We start from the raw sequence: 22,153 nt of genomic DNA on the forward strand, positions 1-22,153 counted from the left end.
TATATCCAATGCTGACTGTGGGTGTTGGGCTTTCCAGTCATGATGTTTTGAATTCCCCAACTGCATTTGTATTGGGTTTATCTCTTATGTTACCTCTTATAAATGAGGGATATGTATTTCATATATGTGGGTGCTCTGTTATGTATATATATATTTAACATTTTATATCTTCGTGCTGAGCTGATTCTTTTATTATTATATAACGACTTTCTTTTCATGCTTTTTGACTTAATGTCTACTTTGTGTGATATAAGTATAGCTACTCTAGCATGCTTTTGGTTTCTGTTTATGTGAAATATTTTTTCCATCTCTTCAATTTCAGTCTATTTATTTACAGATGAAGTGAGTTTCTTGTAAGCAGCCTATAGTTAAGTCTTGTTTTTTAAATCTATTCTACTAGTCTATATATTTTATTGAGGGAATTTAAGCCATTTACATTCAAGCTTATTACTGTTAGTTGACGACTTACTCCTGTCGTTTGGTTAATTTTTTTCTGATTGTTTTATATGTCTTTGTTCCTTTCTTCCTTTTTTATTGTTTGCCTCTACCATTTGATGGGTTGTGTGTGTGTGTGTGTGTGTGTGTGTGTGTAGTGATAATGTTTGCCTCTTTTCTCTTTTTCATTTGTTTTTCTGTTTTACCAGTGAGTTTTATATTTTTGTGTGTTTTTATAATGCTATATATCATTCTCTGCTTCCAGATATATATCTTCGTTACTTATTTATTGCAAAATATGACTAGGTGTAAAATTTCCTCAGTTTTTGCTTGCCTATGAAAGACTATTTCTTCTTTATTTTTGAATTATAGTTTCTTGGATGTAGTTAGAATTATTTACTGACTTTTTTTTTCATCCAGCACTATGAATACAGCATCCCATTCTCTCCTGTCCTGTAAGGTTTCTGCTGAGAAATCCTCTGTTAATCTAATGGAGAGACCATTATATGTGATTTTACACTTTTCTTTCTCTGTTTTTAGAATTCTCACTTTGTGTTTGGCTTTTTGACAGTTTGACTATAACATGCCTTAAAGAAGACTTTTTGTGTTGAATCTATTTGGAGATCTTGGAGCTTCTTGTATCTTGATGCCTACATATCTTGCAAAACTTGTGAGGTTTTCAGCTATCATTTTTAAAAATAGGTTTTCTATGACTTTGCCCATCTTTTCTCTTTCTACAGCTCCCAAAATTTGAAAATTGGACACTTTATGGTGTCCCACATATCACATAGCCTTTCTTATTTTTGTTGTTGTTTTTTATTATTTTGTTGTCTGATTGGGTTGTTTCAAAAGCAGTACATTAAAGTGCCAAAATTTTTTCTTCTGCTCAATCTAGTCTGTTGTTGAAGCTCTTGATTATATTTTTATTTTATTTCTTAAATTCTTCAGTTCTAGGATTTATGTTTAGTTCTTTTAATGATTTCTATTTCTCATTCAGATTATAAATTATTTTTCTGATTTCTCTTTATTATTCATCTGCATTCTCTTTTGTCTCACTGAATTTCTTTAATATTATTTTGAATTCATTTTTAGGCATTTCATAGATTTTCTTTCCATTGGGATATTTTATTGCAGAATTATTGTGTTTCTATGAAAGTTTATATTTCCTTTCTCTTTCATATTTCCTGTGTCTTTACAATGATATCTTCACATCTGGTGTAACAGTCATTTTTTTCCAATTTTATGAATTGGCTTTCTAAGAGAATGACTTACTTCTATACATATATCTATAGTTTTGGTTGGGGAAGGTTCTTGGGCTTTGATTCTGAGTGGATACCATGGTGTAGTCTCCATATAATTTCTTTGGCTGTAATCAGTGTTTGTGATGTCTGTGAGTTCCTCAATGGCTTAGGCTGTGGTTTTTAATGGAGGCTGTGGTAAGGCTTCGTTGGGGATGGGTATGTGCATCCTGGCAGTCCAGTCCTCAGGCATCAGTGGTGGTGGTCCAAAGGTTTCAGTCTTCAGGCTTCTGGGCATCATGCATGGGCACTAGTGGTATTGATTTCAGATGGGCTCATCCTTGGGCCTTCCAGTCGTCATGTTTGGGTGCTGGTGGTGGTGGGTTGAGACAGCAGGATGTGGTCCCCCAAGCAGCATGAAGAGAGTCAGCATTGACAGTAGCAGTGGTAAGGCAACCTTCAGGCTTCCAAGTAGGTTACACAGCTACCAGTAGTAGAGGCACTTAGCTGGATGGGCAATCACCATATCCCTAAGTGATATGCATCGGTTAGTGCTGGCATTAGCAGTAGCAAGCAGGGTGGACCAGGCCCCAGGTCCCAGGCCCTAAGATGCACATACAAACACCAGCAGCAGGGTGGGACCATCCTTATGGACCTGGAAGACAATCACTTGTACCGCTTATGGTGGGCAAGGCATGCCTATCCCCATCACCACATGCAATACATGTGGTCAGCTGTGTTAAGTATGGTGGGACTGTCCTCAGGCTCTTGGGCAACATTCATGGGTGCCAGCAGTGGCAGGCAAGGCAAGTTGATCTCCAGACCCACAGATGACACATGTGTGTGACAGTGGCAGTGGGCCGTGTGGTCCTGTCCTTGAGCTTCTTGATGTTTTTCATGGGTGGGTGCTGTCTGCACTGGGCAGTGTAGATAAATCCCCTGTTCCCTGTATGGCACACCTGGGTGCTAGTGATCATGGTGGTGGGTGAGAAGGGCCTGTCTTCAGGACACCTAGATGGTGCATCCCAGCAGTGGTAGGCATGACAGATCTGTTCTCAGGCCCCAGGATGGCTTGCAGGTTGCTCAGTCCCTAGTCCTCCTAATGATGGATGCAGGAGTATGGAAGCCCTGCTGTTGAGGGGTGGTGCAGTTGCTGTCAGTAGCAGCAGCCTTGGGCAGGTGGCTCTAAGAAGTACATGCTTTGGCTCCCTTTGTCCCAGGGGCAGCCTCCCTATTGTTCTAAACTTTCTATTTCCTGAGGTTTAGGACACGACATGGGCTAGAGTGCTGGGGACACAACCACACAGCTGGGTCTAGCTGGCATCGTGATGCTACAGCCCTCTGGGTGAATGTCCTAAATCATGTATCCTTAGAAAGCATCTAAGTATCTACCATGCCATTTGACAGACCCTGCCCCTAGAAATGTACATATCAAGAGACTGAGGACCAGAAATGTCTCTTGCCCAAAATTAAGCTGCTGCTTATTAGCAGAGCTTTGGCTGAACCACAGTCTGCTGACAGTTTTATGTGCTTTCATGATGAAAAGACAGACCAAGAGGGAGTGTAAAATAAACACTGTTATCACAAAAGACATGAAGAGAGACAAAATAGCCTTGTTCACAAAAACCCAGAATTAGAGAACTTGAAACCTTTTTCCTTAAAACTTAGAAGAAAACAAAAATATTATTTTACACAGCAAATAGTGATTTTATACAACTGTTATTTCAATAAGTAACATAGAATAAAATAATTAAAACAAAATCCAAAAAGTTTTAGGTAGTCATTGAATATAAATTAATAATAAGCTGTTATTAGAGAAAGCTACTAAGGGAATATGATATGGTGCAAACAGGAGTGGACCACAGATTCTTGAGTTATAGACCTGAATTCTGGTCCTGCCACTGAGCCAACATTGCACCTTAAGCAAAATTTATTTTTTCTATATGTTAAATGGATGGATTAGACAAAACCAGCATTTTTCAAAGTTTGTTCTTTAGAATATTAATTCTATGAAATCCTCTGTAAAATGAGTTTTATATTTAAATAATTTGAACAAACATTAAATGTTATACAGTTTTGTTAGCATTTTATAATACACACTAGAATATTAAAAACTCTTGGAAGTCCTGAAATAGAGTACTGTCAACTTTATTTCATGCAATATTTTTCAAACATATCTAATCTCAGAATTTATTTTTCTTAAAATATTTACTAACATCATGTAGGAATACAATTACATGGAACCTCCTTTTGGTGAAGTATACTCTTCTTTTGAAGGCCCTGCTTATGGTTAAGTCTGAGCTGGCATTCAATCTATGGTATAATGTCTTTTTGATATAGAAGGTATTACAGAAATGTAGGCCAGGTCTGGTGGCTCACATCTATAATCCCAGCACTTTGGGAGGTCAAGGCTGGAAGATCACTTGAGGTCAGGAATTCAAGACTAGCCTGGGCAACACGGTGAGACACCATCTCTACTAAAAATACAAAAATAAGCCAGGTGTGGTGGCGGGCCCCTGTAATCCCAGCTACTTGGGAGGCTGAGGCAGGAGAATTGCTTGAACCTGGGAGGTGGAGGTTGCAGTGACCTGAGATCTTACCACAGCACTCCAGTTTGGGTGACAGAGTAAGACTCCATCTCAAAAAATAATAATAATATATTACAGGAATGTGTTTGGAGTAATACTATATACACAGATACATACATATACACATATATGTATACATTTATGTGTATGTATGCATGTGCATTACAAACACGCATATGCCATATATCTTCCGTTTGTTCCTCAAAATCAACTTCCAAGGTGGCTGACCTAATTGGACTTCATCTTCTAGATTCTTGTGTCCTCTGGGTTCAGTCAACAGGAGGCACTATAAGAAAATTGGATAAAGGACAATAAGGTCAGCATTATTATTGCCTTGGCTTCCTCTCTGAGAACTTGGCCTGTGTGGCTTAAATCTGTAAACCAAAAAACACTGCTCATTTCAAGGTGGCCAACTCTACAGAATTGCCTCTTCTTCCAGATATTAGCAATTGCTCCCTCCCTTAGTCCTCTCCTAGAAGTGATAACAGCTCAAGGTCCGCTATCTTGGCTGACTTCCCTATCTCTTGTTTCTCTCTCATATCTATCCCCTTTATAAATAGTGCCTTTGTAAAGAAGTCTGTTTGAAATTATTCTATTTTGAGTGTGCCATCTGCTTCTGCTTGAGACTCTAACTAATCCCCTGTTTTCAGCAAGTTTAGCTTGAAGTTCATGTGGAATCTCCAGGTGGAGATATAAAGAAGTAGAGAATTGGATCAATGGGTTTGGAGCTCAAGAGAGATGCCTAAACTAGAGCTAGTGATATGATACTCATTAATTATGGGAGGACATTGAAGCTGTGGCAGAGAAGGTAATTGTCCAACAAGAGTGTAGAGTAAAAGAAAGACTCAAAACAGAAGAAAGTCTGCAAGGGAGGAATATTACCTCCTAGAAAGAGGGATTATTCAGCATAAGAATATGGTTGTTTAATGAGAAAGGACCCAGGCAAAAAGAAGGTGGATAATTTTAAGGGATATTTTATCCAGACCATCTCTATCTGTTAACAACACTTTCTAGGAACTTTGAGTTTGGGTGTCTTCAAATTCTGGTGGTGCTTAGACTTTGCTGGATACACTGTGCCACCTGGGATCTCTCTGACATCTTGTTTCTCTCTGTGTCCATAATGATTCCATCTCTTACTGATTCACACATTCTCCCTACAGATGTTAACACAACTGATCAAGCTGTGATCAAGCTGCTTGATTTATCTTCAGGAAGATAAATATATTTTCTCTTAACATTGTATGTTGATTTTATCAACCAACTTCTGAAATCTGGGATTGTTCCACTGCCTTTCTGTATACCACAAAATGTATCATTGCAGTGGTCCATGCATAAGCAATTACCAGGGATACCTCCATTTCCATTCTTGCTATAAGAGAGAAAGTATCCTTGCCAAAATATTTTAAGAAGAAGTTTATAAGAAGATGCAGCATAGAGTTTTAAAAAAAAGTTTTCTGGATTAGCAATCAGGAAATCTGGGTTTTTGATCTGAAAATGAACTAAACTTCCAAGTAATTTTGGGCCTTAGTTTGTTTTGTTTTGTTTTTTAATCTATAATATGAAAGAATTGGTCTAGATTGGTATTTTTAAAAATGTTTTCCTTGGAGCCCTAGGTTACTACTTCAGAAAGCACTTCAGGAAGGAATGGGAAATTGAGAAGGTGGGCTCTTGGTGAAGGATATAATTTGCATATTTTCCCCTCCAAATCTTATGTTGAAATATAATCCCCAGTACTGGAGATGGGGCCTAGTGGAAGATGTTGGATCATACAGGAGGATCCCTCCTGAATGGGTTAGCATCATTCTTGCTGTAATGAGTGACTTTTCACTTTGAGTTCATGTGAGATCTTTTACTAAAAAAGTGTGACACCTTCCTTTTCTCTTTCTTGTTCCCACTCTTGCCATGTGATGTGCCTTCTCCCCATTTGCCTTTCCATCATGATTATAAGCTTCCTAGTGCCCTCAAAAGAAGCAGATTCTGGCACAATGCTTCCTGAACAATTTGTAGAACCATGAATCAATTAAATCTTTTTTTCTTTATACATTATGCAGCCTCAGGTATTTTTTATAGCAACTGAAAAACAGACTAATACAAAAAACTGGTACTAAGAGGTGGGGCATTGCTCTAAAGATACCTGAAAATGTGGAAGAGTCTTAGAAACTGAATAGTGGGCAGAGACTGAAAGAGTTTAGAGGGCTCAGGAGAAGACAGGAGGATGAGAAAAAGTTTGAAAACAAATGGTTCCAAGTGGCTATGACAAAAGTGCTGATAGAAATATGGACAGTGAAGTCCAGGGTGATGAGGTTTCAGGTGGAAATGAGGAAGTTATTGGAAACTGGAGTGAAGGTCACCCATGTTACACCCTAGCAAAGAACTTGGCTGCACTATGTCCAAGTCCTAAAGATCTGTTGAAGTTTGTGCTTAAGAGTGATAACCTAGGGTATCTGGAAGGAGAACTTTATTTGTTTTATGTTTCATTTTAATAGTTTTGGGGATACAGGTGTTTTTTTTTTGTTACATGGATGAGTTCTTTAGTAGTAAATTCTGTGATTTTAGTGCACCTGTCATCTGAGCAGTGAACACTGTACCCAATATGTTGTCTTTTATTCCTTGCCTCCCTCCCAAACTCCCCCCCAGAGTCTCCACAGTCTATTATATTGTTCTGTACATCTTTGCATCCTCATAGCTTAGCTCCCACTCATAAGTGAGAACATAGGACATTTTTTTTTTTATTCCTGAGTTACTTCACCTAGATAATGACTTCCAGTTCCATCACAGTTGCTGTAAAAGACATTATTTTTCCTTTCCTGAGTTCCTTTTATGGCTGAGTAGTATTTCATGTTGTATATATACATTTTCTTATCCACTCATTGGTCAGTGGGTACTTAGGTTGGTTTCATATCCTTGCAGTTGTGAATTGCACTCCTATAAACATGCATGTGCATGTATTTTTTTCATATAATGATGGCATAAGAAATTTCTAAGCAGCAAAGCATTCAAGAGGTGGTCTGCCTACCTCTAACAGTCTATGATCAGATATGCAAGCAAAGAAATGACTTAAAGTTGGAACTTATATTTAAAAGGGAAGCAGATAGTACAAGTTTGGAAAATTTGCAGCCTGGCCTGTGGTAAAGAAAGAATCCAAGCAGGCTATGGAACAACCACTTGCTAGAGAGATTAGCATGACTAAAAGGAAGCCCAGTGCTAATATCCAAGACAATAGGAAAAAGACCTGGAAGGCATTTCAGTAGTCTTCAGAACAGCCCTTCCCATCACAGGCCAGAGGCCTAGAAAGAAAGAATGGTTTCAGTGGCCTGCCCAGCCTCAGGACACTGCACCTCACATCCTGGATCCTCTGGCTCTAGCCTCAGCTCAGAAGTGCCCAGGTACAGCTCAAGCGGCTGCTTCAGAGAATGCAAGTTATAAGCCTTGGTAGATTCCACATAGTATGAAGCCGGCAGATACAAAGAACACAAACATGAAGTAGGCTTGGCAGCTTCCACCTAGATTTCAGAGGATGTGTGGAAAAATCTGGGTGCCTGCTGCAGGGGCAGAGCCACAGCACTGAGCCTCTACTAGGGCAGGACTGAGGGGAAATGTGGGGTTGGAGGACCCACACTACCAAGGAACTGCCTAGTGGAGCTATTGGAAGGGTGACCCCACCCTCCAGATCTGAGAATGATAGAGTCAGCAGTGCTTTTCATTCTCAGTCCAGGCACTGGACTCCAACCCATCAGGACAGCCACAAGCGCTGCATCTAGCAAAGCCACAGGGGCAGAACTGCCCACAGTATAGCATCCACCCCTCATACCAGTGTACCCTGGATGTGGGACATGGAGTCAAGGGAGATTATTTTAGAGCTTTAAAATCTAATGACTGCCATATCTGGTTCTCAGGCTTGTGTGGGGAATATTGCCCCTTTCTTTTGGCTGATTTCTCCCTTTTGAAATGGGAATGTCTACCCAATGTCTGTACCATCATTCCACCTTGGGAGTAAATAACTTGTTTTTCCATCTGACAGGCTCATAGGTAGAAGAAACATCTCCACATGCAACTTTGGACTTTGGGCTCAATACTTGGGACTTTTGAGTTCATGCTGGAAAGTTAAGACTTTGGGGGACTATTGGAAAAGTATGATTTTATTTTGCAATGTGAGAAGGACATGAGATTTTAGGAGCCAGGGGCTCGATGATATAGTTTGGATATTTGTCCCCTCCAAATCTCATGTTGAAAGGTAATCCCCATTGTTGGAGTTGCGGTCTAGTTGGAGGTGTTGGATCATGGGGGAGAATCCCCCATGAATAGCTTAGCACCGTTCTTGCTGTAATGGGTTATTTCTTGCTCTGAGTTCACGAGTGATTTGGTTAAGAGTGTGGCATTTCCCCACCTTCTCTCTCTTGCTCTTGCTCTCATGACATAACAAGCCTACTTCCCCTTCACCTTCTGCCATGATTGTAAGCTTCCTGAGGCCCTCATCAGAAACAGATGTCAGCATCATGCTTCCTGTGCAGCCTGCAGAACCATGAGCTAATTCAACTCTTTTCTTTATAAATTACCAAGCCTCAGGTATTTCTTTATACCAATGCAAAAATTGACTAATACAGCCCATATCCCCATTTTTCCAGAGCAGCTTTGCTTTCTCTTGTAGACCTTCAATTGCATGTAAGATTTTATTTGAATGAAAGACTTCATTGCACACCCAACCAACCAACCAAAGAATCAAAACACCCTGGATGATTTTTGGGATCCCTTCTAGAGATTAAAGTCTAGAAGTTTAAAGATGAGAGCATAGATAACAGTATCTTACCTGAAAAAGATTGCTTTGTGAGATACTTTTGGCTCCCAGGTATAGTCATTCTATGGGCAGAGAAAGGCCATAGCTGACTAAGCTTAGTCTCCTGGTTCTGGTACTGCCTTAGCCTGTTGTAATCCCATATCTCCAGTTATATGGTGGCAGAAAGGGGGAGTCTAGACTTTATTATGGTGTATTTTTTGTCCCTCTCCCACAGTGAATTATTCAGGGCTATGTGGGAGAGGGGTATTATTTAGGTAAGATGGACCAGGTTCCTAAATTAGAAAGCAAACAAGCTCAAAATGTTTCTCTCACAAAACTGTGGTCTCTAATCTCTCCCCTCCCATCTTTATTATTCTTCTATTAATTTTGTGGTTGGAACAAGTCTAAATACAAGTAAAATCTCCCCCATATGGCCATCCTTTTCAGCCAGATTCCAAAGTACAGGGAACTATGTTGTTTTCACCATTTGCTTTACATCTGGAATCTCAAAAGAGGATGAAGCAAGGGTAAGCCTTGGTCTACGCCTCCTAACAGAAATTCTGATGCTGGGCTGCTGGAGACTGAGCCAGAGCAGAAAATAAAGAGAGAATCTTCTTTGTTTTGGCAAGAAAAGGGATACACAAAAGATAGGCCTCCACAGAAGATATGAGTTGGTTGTCAGAAATGTGGTTTGCAAGGCAAGTCAGAGAAACTAAATGAGAACTCTCAGAAATTGGATTCCAGCTGTCAATAACCTTAGAAAGGAAAAAGAAATTTAGGCTCAAATTTTTGAAAGTAGCCAGGAAAAGAGGCAGCTACCATGATGTCAGAGGATCCAAAAAGTGATTTCCTTGTCAAGACTTCTGCCTTTCTCACTATTGATCCTTGACTGCCCTTACAGAGTAACTCAGGGAGAAAGGAATGGAGCTTAAGTGTGAAATCCCCTTGGGCTCTGTGACATCAGTTTTCTACTTTGTCCACATACCACGACTTTTGAACATGGTGTCAGAAATAATTCTAGTTCACTTCAGGAAACACTGACATAAGTGCCTACAAAGTGCCATACCATGTGTTAGGCCAAACATTTCACAGCCTAATAGGAGAAAGAGTAAACACAATTTCAACACAAAACATAAGTGGAGTGATAGTTGTCCAAATAGCATCTTGCAGAAGCATAAAGAAGGGGCACTTGACTTGAAGACACAGTTTCATAGAACATGAAATCTGGACAGAAATAAAAGATGCAGTCCAATTTCATCTCTGTGTAGATTGGAAAAGTGAGGTTCAGAATACTGAAGAGACTTGTCCAAGGTTACAGAGCCAGACAATGGCAGAACTGGACTTCTAGTTTAGAGAATTAGGCTCAGTCAGTCCTCTGCCATTCTGCACAGATAATGAACTTTTCCCTCCTTCAAAGTGGGCATTTTGATCTGCAAATTATCTCAGGACTCTGGCCTGGGAAAACATATAGAAGAAGCTAGTGAAGTGTCTGCAGTGTGAAGGACATGTCTGTTGATTTCCTGAAAAAGCAGAGTATATCTGTCTTTGTGTGTCCTTTCCCTTCTTATGATGGGCTCCACATCAAAAGGGCTCACACAGAAATCTACCATTGCTTATTTGTGTAGCAAGACTAGGATTCCCAAATTTATTATCCCTAGAAGCAGTGGAATTCTGGTTGGGAAGAAAACATCTTGGGTCCCCTTATCTCTCTTCCAGTTTAAGAGTTGTTTCTAATACTCTCAGGGCAAGACAATGGTAGAAAAGTTTCTCTAATATAATTCTGTTAAAAGTTTCATATTCCATCCAGGCACAGTGGCATTCACCTGAAATCCCAGTTACTTGGGAGGCTGAGGCAGGAGGATCGCTTGAGCCCAGGAGTTTGAGGCCAGCCTAGGCAACATAGCAAGACCCTATCTCTAAAAAAAGTTTAATATTCCTGTTAGGTGTTCATTCAACACCTTTGTGAGCACCTTCAGTAACAGGGACCCGACTCTCCTCAGAGATAAACAGTTCCATCTCAGAATAAATCTGAAAGAAAGCACTGTCTTATGGCCAATAGACAGACATTTGATTCCTTGAAGTTTCTTCCTTCTGGGGACATTCTCATTAGGTTGGTATCCTCTGGCTTTCAGAGATTTGAAGACCAAACTTACACCACTTGGAGTTTTCTATTCTCCAGGATCAACAATCTCACATCCTTCAATTGCTCTTCATGGGACCTAGATTCTAGCCCTCTTCTTGACTGTAATGCTCTAGACGCATTCTTGTTTTGGCTCAAGGAAAGCATGTGGGGAGATGTACTCTTTCATATATTTCTGGTAGGAATGTTAATTGACAGAGATTCAGGATAGGATAATTTAGCAACATCTATAACTATTTTAAATATGGATACCTTATGACTCAGGAACTCTACATTTAAGACTCCATCCTACAAAACTAGCAGCATCATTGGATGGATAGATAGATACATAGACAGATAGATAAATGTGGTATTTCTTATCACAGGAAAAACTGGAAAAATTTAAGTGCTCACTAAACAAGCATTGATTTAAAAATTTGCTATAGCCATACTATGAAATAAAGTGCTAGCAATGATGTGACTGAAGTAGAGTTACTTTATAATATGGAAAGATGCCCAAGGTACATTATGTGAAAAAAAGTAAGTTGAAAATCAATATGCACTCTATGATTTCATTTTTGTAAAATAAACCCACAAAATTATATGTGGGTATATTTATATGAAAACATAAATTTTATAGGCATAGGAAACATCTGTAAAGATACACACTAAATTATCTCTGAAACATAGGCTTGAAAGGGAAATGAGAAGGAGAGAGTTTTCTCCTTGATAAATGTCTATATTGGTTTCAATGAGCATGAATTACTTTTCAAGTTAAAATACATTAAGATGATAAAATAAGAGGATAGCTGAAGAAACCAAGTTGACTCATCCCCTCTACTTCCTCATTTATGACAGTCATCCCAGGGATATCTGTACAGAGGCAGGTATAACATAGGGTTTACTGTGGGTCCTGGAACCAGACTGCCTGGGTCCAAATTCAAGCTTTGATTTAGTAGCACATGATTGTGGTGAAGTTACTTATAAATCAGTTTCCTCCTTTTTGAAATAGGGATAAACATTATTCTTACCTCAGGAAGTTGTTCTGAGAATTAAATAGTTTAATATGTGTAAAATACTCAAATCATGACTAGCACGTAATAAAAGTTTAGTAGATATAATTCATATATCAATATAATTCATATTGTCTTATAATCAATTATATCCTGTCAGTTGTCAAGACTTTAAATACTCATCTTCCTTAACTCTTTCCTTTTCCTCACTCTTCACAATAAGTCAATCACCATGTCCTGAATTCTATTAGGTCAAGCTGTATGCAGTTCCCATTTCTGTAGAGCAGAAAGGGTCAAATATCAGTCATGTTCCATAGTTCAACCTAATACCTTCCCAAGGTTTAACAAAACTTCTCATTTTCTTACATTACTAGGCTTGGACTGTTACAGCAGTTAGTCTTTTAATTGATCTCCCCAATCCCTAGTTCTCTTCTTACACTAAGCTGCCTTACATGCATACTCCCGATGGAATTATGACCCTAAACCTACTGATCATGCTTCATCCTGCTCACAGGCCACCAATGACTTCCTATTGATCACAAAAGGAATTTTCATTCTCTTTTCTGACAATGTATATATAACAGGTAATGTTCACATGTATGATACACTCTCATGGACTTACTCTGATTTTGGGTTACCACAAAACCTGTTCTGCAGGGAAGTGAAGCACATTCACCGCAAATTTTTGATGTGTTATTCATAGAAGCATTTTGCAAAACTGTGAGTAATTAAATCAAAATTTAAATTTCCTCGGCCATTTTGAATGATGTCAGAAGGTATTAACCTAATAACATTAAGTGTTTTAAAATAACTCTCAGAGATGATTTTATTTCTTTTAATGAGGAACAAAGTTGATGGAAATAACTTGTAAACTTCTTGGCAGCTTGCTCAGGATTTGATTTTAAATGTATCTTTAACGTGTTTGGAACCATTGATCAAGTCAACCATGACTGGACTCTACCCCCCCCAGGGCATTGTGGTTTGCAATTGTTTTTCTCATCAACCCAACTGAGTTTGAAATTTATAAAACTGCCTTTTTGTTTATAATACTGTACACAGCATATGTTCATTAAGCACTTATTATGTAATTGGTACTATGCTCTTCTGTGATCTTATTAACAGAAACATTCATAGTGTCATTCTCACTTATGTACGAAGTAAATATAGAGGCAGTGAGCACCCTTTATTTATCTATCCTTGCCTTTCTCTAATAATGAATGTACCCATGTGTAAGGTAAAAAGAAAAATATAAGTAACTGTAAAGTTACAGCTTACAAGCCCTACAACTTCCAAGTCCTTACATTCATAGTCACCTACTGTAGAATGATTAGGTATAAGACTGGGTAAATATAAGGGTGAGGGTTTTATGTAATTCTTAGTAAGCTAGCTTATAACTCCACCCAAGCCCATCTCTTACTCAAGAAAGCACATTGGAAAACAAGTTAGTAAAGATGATCTTATTATAGGATAACTCTAAATCTACTTAATTTTCCTTTCAGGTAAATCATTTGCAAACTTTGGTACTTTAAATTTTATGGGTAACAGATTACTTTCGACACATCAGTGCGTTGCAACACTGATCTGGTCTTCTGAATAAAGTCCAAGGCCTTTTGGCTGGCCTTCAGGAGAGGCTGTGCTCTGGCCCTCATCTTTTATGAGTACCTTCCCCATACCTATTGCTCTGAAGAAATGGATCTCGTCACTGCTGTCTATTGCACTCCAAGCCTTGGTGCTTTCTCTTCATATCAAGGACTAGTGTTGGAGCCAGAATTTAATCCCAGGCAGGTAGTCTGGCTATAGAGTTCGGGTATTTAACCAGTACACTCTACTGCCTCTCACATAATTCTTGCATTATAGTGCTTGCTGTAAGGTGCAGGAGGAAGGCAGAATGTCTCTTTCACGTGAATTTTTGTCCTCTATGGAACCGTGCATGTAGTAGGTCTACTCAACCCACTTAATGTGGGTTTAATTAATACCCTAGCTTTCTGGAATGTTAAAAAATGTAAGCAGCATTTAAAAATAAATATATTAAAGTTTAGGGAAGCTACATTAAAAATTGTACCCAATGTATTTTTATATTAGACCCTGTGGCAAACCAAAAAGACTACCGGAGATAGGAAAACAAACTTTGCCTTGTGAATTCGCTGTTTACTGCTTCACAAAGATTCCAGATGGCTCGTAGCATAGCTACTCCTTCAAGTTTAAAGGTTAAAGGTTAAAAGTTATAGAACTGTAGTGGCAATTTACAAAGCCACTGCATTTAAATTCTATTGCTTCATATATAACAAGTGTTATGTGTTATTTCTTTATTTCTTCCATTTACTAGTTATTTGACAGTGAGTTGAATGTCTGGGCTTTTCTTTCTTTCTTTTTTTTTTTTTTTTTTTTTTTTTTTGAGACTGAGTTTCACTCTTGTTGCCCAGGCTGGAGTGCAATGGCGAGATCTCGGCTCGCAGCAACCTCCGCCTCCCGGGTTCAAGCCATTCTCCTGCCTCAGCCTCCTGAGTAGCTGGGATTACAGGCAAGCACCACCAGGCCTGGCTAATTTTTGTGTTTTTTAGTAAAGACGGGGTTTCTCCATGTTGGTCAGGCTGGTGTCAAATTCCGGACCTCAGGTGATTCGCCAGCCTCGGCCTCCCAAAGTGCTGGGATTGCAGGCATGAGCCACAGCGCCCGGCCCATGTCTGGGCTTTTCTATCCCTATCTGTAATATGCAGATAAACCCTCTACAAGATTGTTGTAAGGATTAAATATCATAACGTATATAAAACACCTAGGACAGTGCTTGGCATTTATTAGGGGCCTCAAGCATATTAGTTTTTACCCTCATCCTATCTCTTCACTGAGATTACAAAATCCTAGCATGGGGCTAATTACAGGGGAAGATTATAATACATACCAAGATACATGGGCTTTGGCCAGTGGCTTTGGGGAGGCAAAATTGAAACCTATAGAATGTTAAGCAGCAATTCAGCGTATGATTTTTTCTTTAAATCTGGAAGTCATCACTGCCTGTTCTTGTCACTAACTCCTCACACCAAATACAGCACCAAGTCTTGTCTATTTTGCCTCCTAAATATCTCCAATATGTTCCTTTATTTGTAAACCCTCACTGTCTCTCACCCGGATGGTTGCAACAGCCTTCTCATTGGTCTCCTTTTGGTTTTGCTCTACCTGATTCCACTCTCCACACTGTTGCCCTCTTTCTAAAGTTCAAATCTAATCATGTCACTCAGTGGCTTAAAACACTTTAGTAATTCTTCATCATGCTAACGGTAAAATAAAGGAAAAACTACTTAATGTGACTTGCTGGTCAGTTATGTCCAATCCCTGCCTTTCTCTTTGGTCTTATATCTGCCTACTTCTCACACGCAAACTGTATGATTTGGTACAATTGAACCACCTAGAATTCTACAGACAACAATTCATTATGTCTCTGTCTCTGTCTCTCCCCACTCACCCTCTTTGTACATGCTTAAATGCCCTAAAGCCCTTACAGTGGCCTAAAAGTCCTTACATCTTTTTGCTTCATCCACTGGCTTCTTTCCTGTTTGTTGAACACATCGAGCACACTCTGATTTAAGGGTTTTTGCACTTGCTGTTTTCTCTGCTTTAATTGCTCTTTGTCTTCCTATATACATTGACCCATCAATTTCCTTCACATCTCTGTTCAGACATTATCACAATTCTATTTACAATAGCACCCTATCCCCCTCACTCTTTATCCTATACTTTTTATCTTCTTGACCTGTTTACTTTTCTTTATACTATCTGATTTACACATGTATGTGTATGAGTGACCTGCTTTCAGAATATTTGCTCCATGAGAGCAGAAACTAAAGGTTATTTAAATGAGTGCATCTTTTGGTTTCAAAAACTTTTAATTCCTACATTTCCAATTTTTTCCTGGGTAATGTCTATTTAATCTTCAGCTTACATCTTTTTTTTTTGCAGCAAACAGCTAGGTTAGGCATGCTTCCTCGGGCCTTCCCCAGCTCCTGCTTTCTCTTATGACAACACTAATCAGATTATTTCTCTGTGGAAAGGGTAAATGGGCCCAGATCATGGCAGTCACTGAATGCCACATCAGACTGTTTGAATTTCATCCTATTAGTTGTGAAATCATTGCAAAATTATTCAGGGGCATATTATGTCTTGAAAGAATGTTTTTGAAATATTTTCTAGCCACAGTGTGCAAGATATATTAAAGGAGAGCAGGGAGAGCAGAGACCTCTATGAACAGGGATATAAAGACTGAGACAGGTCAGGTGCAGTGGCACACTCCTGTAATCCCAGCACTTTGGGAGGCTGAGGCAGGCAGATCACCTGAGGTCGGGAGTTCGAGACCAGCCTGATCAACATGGAGAAACCCTGTCTCTACTAAAAATACAAAATTAGTTGGGCATGATGGTGCATGCCTGTAATCCCAGCCACTCAGGAGGCTGAGGCAGGAGAATTGCTTGAACTCGGGAAGCAGAGGTTGCGGTGAGCCGAGATCACACCATTGCACTCCAGTCTGGGCAACAAGAGCAAAACTTCTTCTAAAAAAACAAAACAAAAAAAGGACTGAGACAAAGGGAAAAAACTTGAAGCATGCAGAATTCAGAATGGGTCTGGAGCTGTCATGAAGGAATAATTAACAGGGCTATATGACAGTTGGATACAGTGAAAGATGCAAATTATGGCAATGACAATATTAAGTTATCGAATCTGGGTGCCTATAGAGTTGAGCTGGAGTGGTTCAAGGGGAAATCTAAGTGGAAATGGTCATCAAGTAGTTGCAAATTTGAAGTCACAAAGTTAAAGATGCTCTGATAGGTTTGGGGGTCACACTTGTTAGAAAGACTGTGCTTCTGAGGAAGACAGTGGAGAGCATAGATATCTCCACTTTTGATGTTAATTCTATGGTGGCATCTAAAGCTAAATTTTATTGTTCTTTTTTTATGATTGTACTTTAAGTTTTAGGGTACATGTGCACAATGTGCAGGTTAGTTACATATGTATATATGTGCCATGTTGGTGTGCTGCACCCAGTAGGCTTTGAAGAAAGAAGTCACTAGATAGAAAACATGACTAAAACTGATTAAGCTCTGCCTGTGTGCTAGTTACTGTGCTAGGCGTACAGTGGGTATTTGATTCTCACAACAATGCTGTGCACTAGGTTATGTTTCTCCCATTTTATAGATGAATAAACAGAGGCTCAGCAAAATTTCATATAGCCAGGAAAAGGTTAAGCTTGCATGGGAGCTCCGATCTTTGTGATTCTTTCTACTGCACCACCACCCAATGAACAATTACCATCAATAGACCCCTCTTGTGAAGGACATCAAAGTATTATATCCCACTCTGCCCCCCAACCCTAATTTTTAAAGAGTTTCTGCTATGATATAACTGATGGCAGGGAGGATTGATCCATGATGAATGTGTAGTAGGAAAAAGCTTCTGTGGTTTACTGTAAAATGGTAAGGATTAAAGAGATTTACTGACCTCTGTAACAAGCTACCCACTCCTCATAATGTGCTATGGCTACTATTAGGGGTGGGGAGACACTCTAGTAACTATTTTAGAAATTAACCTGGGTTTATGGAATCCGTTATGGAAAAACAAAGCTAACTTCAACTCTTTCCTGATTCTTTTTACTATAGGAAGCAGAGGCCTAAAATTATATTTGAGGCTGTGAGATCTTTTTTGAGGGAAAAATACCTAAATGAATCTCACAATTATGACAACATAAAACAATAATTTTAACTGGAATGAACAATGAAGAACTAAACTTGAGTTCTTTTCTGTTTGTTTGCAGGGATTTGGGACTGGCTTCTTCTGTCTGGGACTTAGGAGATGGATTTGGGGTTCTGGTTTTTGTTGAAGACTGACAGGGTCATAAACAAGCTCCATCTGGCAACATGAAGGTAGGCTGAGGAAATCAGGCATGATAGATGGACTCCAGGAGCAATTGTCTCTAGTGTTTAGTTTAAAGATTTTCCTCTATTATAATTCCTTTCAGCAAAATTTATAAGACATCACAATCTGTTGCTGCCTGTGCCTTGGATAATGAAGGGAAGAACATTTATCTACTCTGAGAAAAAGAGATGCAAGAAGAAAAATAGCCACCGGTGAAATGTTGGTTAGGCGATAGCTTCAGAAGAAAGGCAGAGAAGTCTGGGGTTATAGGTGACAAGAGACCACCAGGAAAGATTTGTGACAAATGTAAGCATTAACCAAGGAGTCTCAGAAAGATGTAAAGAGAGGAGTTGATAATCATGGAATTTCTTCTGCCACCTTAAAGTGCCCTACTATTCTGACACCTCAGCAGTTTTTGGCTACAGTTTTGAGTCTACCTCCTTTACCTGAGGCCATCTCCTCACCAGCCCTGCCAGTTTCCTTCTTCTATTTTATTGAGCCTTGCAGATGGCAAGAGAGAAGGGAAGGTTCTGGAGTTATCAGCCTGCTTCATCATTCTTGCTCCCCTTCCCCCTAGGAAGCTGGGGCAGGGAGGGAGGGGACTGCAGGTTGGAACAGCAAGCTACCCACAGGCCAAAGTGAGGGACAGGGTACCTTTGATCAGCTCCCCGTTAATGAACTGTTTTTCCTCATGTCCTACTTTTTTCTTTTTCTTTGTTTCTTTCTTTTTTCCTTTGGTCTTTAACATTTATTTATTTATTTACCAACTTGGTCTGTGCCGAGCAGACGTGGTTAGCTATCTAAAGGTCACTAGGATGAAACCATTTGGCCAGAGCCCAGTGTTTCAGCTTTGCCAGGGACACGCTGTTCTACTGTACCTCAGCACTATCAGAAACATGCAATTAAAGCTCATTTTACATTTCTTTCCTCCTTTATTTTCTCCTTCTTATCTTATACCCACTCTTTTGAGTCTGTTACTCTAATTGTATCTGTTTTCTCTGTTTTTTCTATTTCCATTCTTTGCAGTCTCTACTCTTTTCCCTCTGCTTCTTTTTCCAGGCTTGGCTCTTTCTGCTTGAGTTGACTTGAAGCAACTCTCCATTACCAGTGGAAATTTTCTGTGCCTGGTAGTCTGGGAAGGTGGTAGGTAGAAACGTCAGTGGAGTATTGTTTTTATCTCTATAAAGTAGAACTAAAGTTAAGCTATTGGTGGCTGGGTGTGGTGGCTCATGCCTGTAATCCCAACACTTTGGGAGGCTGAGGTGGGTGGGTCACTTGAGGCCGGGAGTTTGAGACCAGCCTGGTCAACATGGCAAAACCTCATCTCTACTAAAAATACAAAAATTAGCTGATTGTGGCGGCATGCACCTGTAATTCCAGCTACACAGGGGTCTGAGGTAGGAGAATCACTTGAACCCAGGAGGCGGAGGCTGCAGTGAGCCAAGGTCACACTACTGCATTCCAGCCTGGGTGACAGAGTGAGAATCTGTCAAAAAAAAAAAAAAAGTTAAGCTATTGGTGAGATCTCGATAGAATGCTGAACTGTGGCAGGAGCTAGTGAGGGGAGGTGAGGAATCCACACTGCAGACAGATACTCACTTTGGAAAAGACTGAGGACACATGAAGGCCATCAAACAGGGAAACTAGAAACTATATTTCTTGAGGGCAAGGGGGCACTGAACTCAGAAGTCTAAGAGGCTTTGGCGCAGCCTATTTACATGATTTCAGAGATTACCTTATCTTGTTGACCTTTCTATCTTTCATCCTTTTCCCCACTTTGGTCCACTATCTCTCTATCATCACCATGACCACTAGTGCTACCACCTCTTAATTCATGGTTTACTTCCCTTTTGTCTCACCCCCTACTCTTTTCTGCCAGGCCTCTTGTATAACCCCTCCCAACACCTTTGGGGGTATCTCTGAATCACTTTCTTGGTGCTCGAATTTATTGCCATCCTTCTTCAGTGAAATTATGAGACGGCATAAAATGAGGACAGGGAAGGCCTTGTTGAATTCAAACACATAGATCCACATCCCAGCTTCCAGAACTAGAGAAGTTTCTCTTTTCCAGCTCTTCCCGTGGGCATCAAATCTCAGCTGCAGGGCCCTGCCTTTATCTGTTATCGCAGGCAATCTCTATACAGGCAATGCAGACTATCCCGAACCAAGGCCCCACTGGAAATGAAAGGATTGTGTCCCTTAAACACAATTAGACCATAGGTGGAGAGAAGGAAAATCTCTGAAAAAAGGAGGTAAAACGTTCATATGCAGCTTTATGGAAATGAGGAGAGGTAAAAATTGTAAGATGATGACTGTGGGCAAGATGAAAAAATAAATAAATAAATAAAAAGCCTTCCAAAAAATGTGGATTCTAAAATAGTAGCATAATTAACTAAAAAGTTGTTACATTCTTTCTAGGAGATTCTCAAGAATGGGGTATCCTCTCTTCTCTGGGTAGGTCAATGCTGTAATTTCATAAGAGTCCCGCAATTAGTTCTGGGCTCTATGTTTATAAAGGACATTAGCAAATTGAAGTTTGCCCAGAGAAGTTTGAACCACAACTTAAGGTATGGCCTAGATGTAAGAGCTGAAGAAACAAAAAAGACTTATTCTGGGAAAGACAAGATTCATGGATTACTACCTTTAAACACTGAAGGTCTTACATGTAGAAAATGAACTAGATATTTTTATGGCCCCTAAGTCTATATCTGGGAGCAATGAGGTAGACTCCGTGGAGGTGAGAGGTGGGACAGTAAGTGATGATTAGGTCATACAGAAACCTTGATTAACTCCACCGAGTTTAAAATATTCTTAAAAGAGGTAGGAATCTTTAAGGTTAATATGGCACATGTATACATATGTAACAAACCTGCACGTTGTGAACATGTACCCTATAACTTAAAGTATAATAAAAATAAAATAAAATAAATAAAGGTGCTAGTACTTTAAAAAAAAAAAGAGGTAGGAATATATGAAACAGTCAGTGTTTGAGAGTGTCTATTTACTATTCTGTGCTTTGTGAAGGACTTAGAGAACTAGAAAAAAATTTCATTATGAGATTACAGTAGATTTGCGAATTAGGCGCAAAGGTGTCCCAGCCTTCATTAGAAGTAGCATAGCCCTTGGAACCAAACCCACTGGATCATCTTTCCCAGACTCCATCTGCTGCATCAAAGGGTAGTTCTACTTTTAGTTCTTTAAGGAATCTCCACACTGTTTTCCATAGTGACTGTACTAGTTTACGTTCCCACCAGCAGTGTAGAAGTGCTCCCTTTTCACCACATCCACACCAACATCTATTATTTTTTGATGTTTTGATTTTGGCCATTCTTGCGGGAGTAAAGTAGTATTGCATTGTGTTTTTGATTTGCATTTTCCTGATCATTAGTGATGTTGAGCATTTTTTCATATGTTTGTTGGCCATTTGTAAATCTTTTGAGAATTTTCTTTTATTATTATTATTATACTTTAAGTTTTAGGGTACATGTGCACAATGTGCAGGTTAGTTACATATGTATACATGTGCCATGCTGGTGTGCTGCACCCATTAACTCGTCATTTAGCATTAGGTATATCTCCTAATGCTATCCCTCCCACCTCCCCCCACCCCACAACAGTCCCCAGAATGTGATTTTCCCCTTCCTGTGCCCATGTGTTCTCATTGTTCAATTCCCATCTATGAGTGAGAACATGCGGTGTTTGGTTTTTTGTCCTTGCAATAGTTTACTGAGAATGATGATTTCCAATTTCATCCATGTCCCTACAAAGGACATGAACTCATCCTTTTTTATGGCTGCATACTGGGTATATACCCAAAGGACTATAAATCATGCTGCTATAAAGACACATGCACACGTATGTTTATTGCGGCACTATTCACGATAGCAAAGACTTGGAACCAACCCAAATGTCCAACAATGATAGACTGGATTAAGAAAATGTGGCACATATACACCATGGAATATTATGCAGCCATAGAGAATTTTCTTTTTTTAATTATACTTTATGTTTTAGGATCCGTGTGCACAACGTGCAGGTTTGTTACATATGTATACATGTGCCATGTTCATATGGGTGTGCTGCAC

At 39.5% G+C, this 22,153-nt stretch overlaps 1 annotated feature.

Moving 5' to 3' along the window:
• Positions 7,223-7,802: an enhancer, noted in NCBI's record as "OCT4-NANOG-H3K27ac hESC enhancer chrX:66313769-66314348 (GRCh37/hg19 assembly coordinates)". NCBI's record gives its function as "activates a minimal SCP1, AML or CMV promoter by ChIP-STARR-seq in primed H9 embryonic stem cells {active_cell/tissue: H9 hESC(primed)}" and the evidence as "EXISTENCE:reporter gene assay evidence [ECO:0000049][PMID:30033119]".

Source organism: Homo sapiens, chromosome X (assembly GCF_000001405.40).
Source record: "Homo sapiens chromosome X, GRCh38.p14 Primary Assembly".
In the NCBI taxonomy this organism is placed as follows: domain Eukaryota; kingdom Metazoa; phylum Chordata; class Mammalia; order Primates; family Hominidae; genus Homo; species Homo sapiens.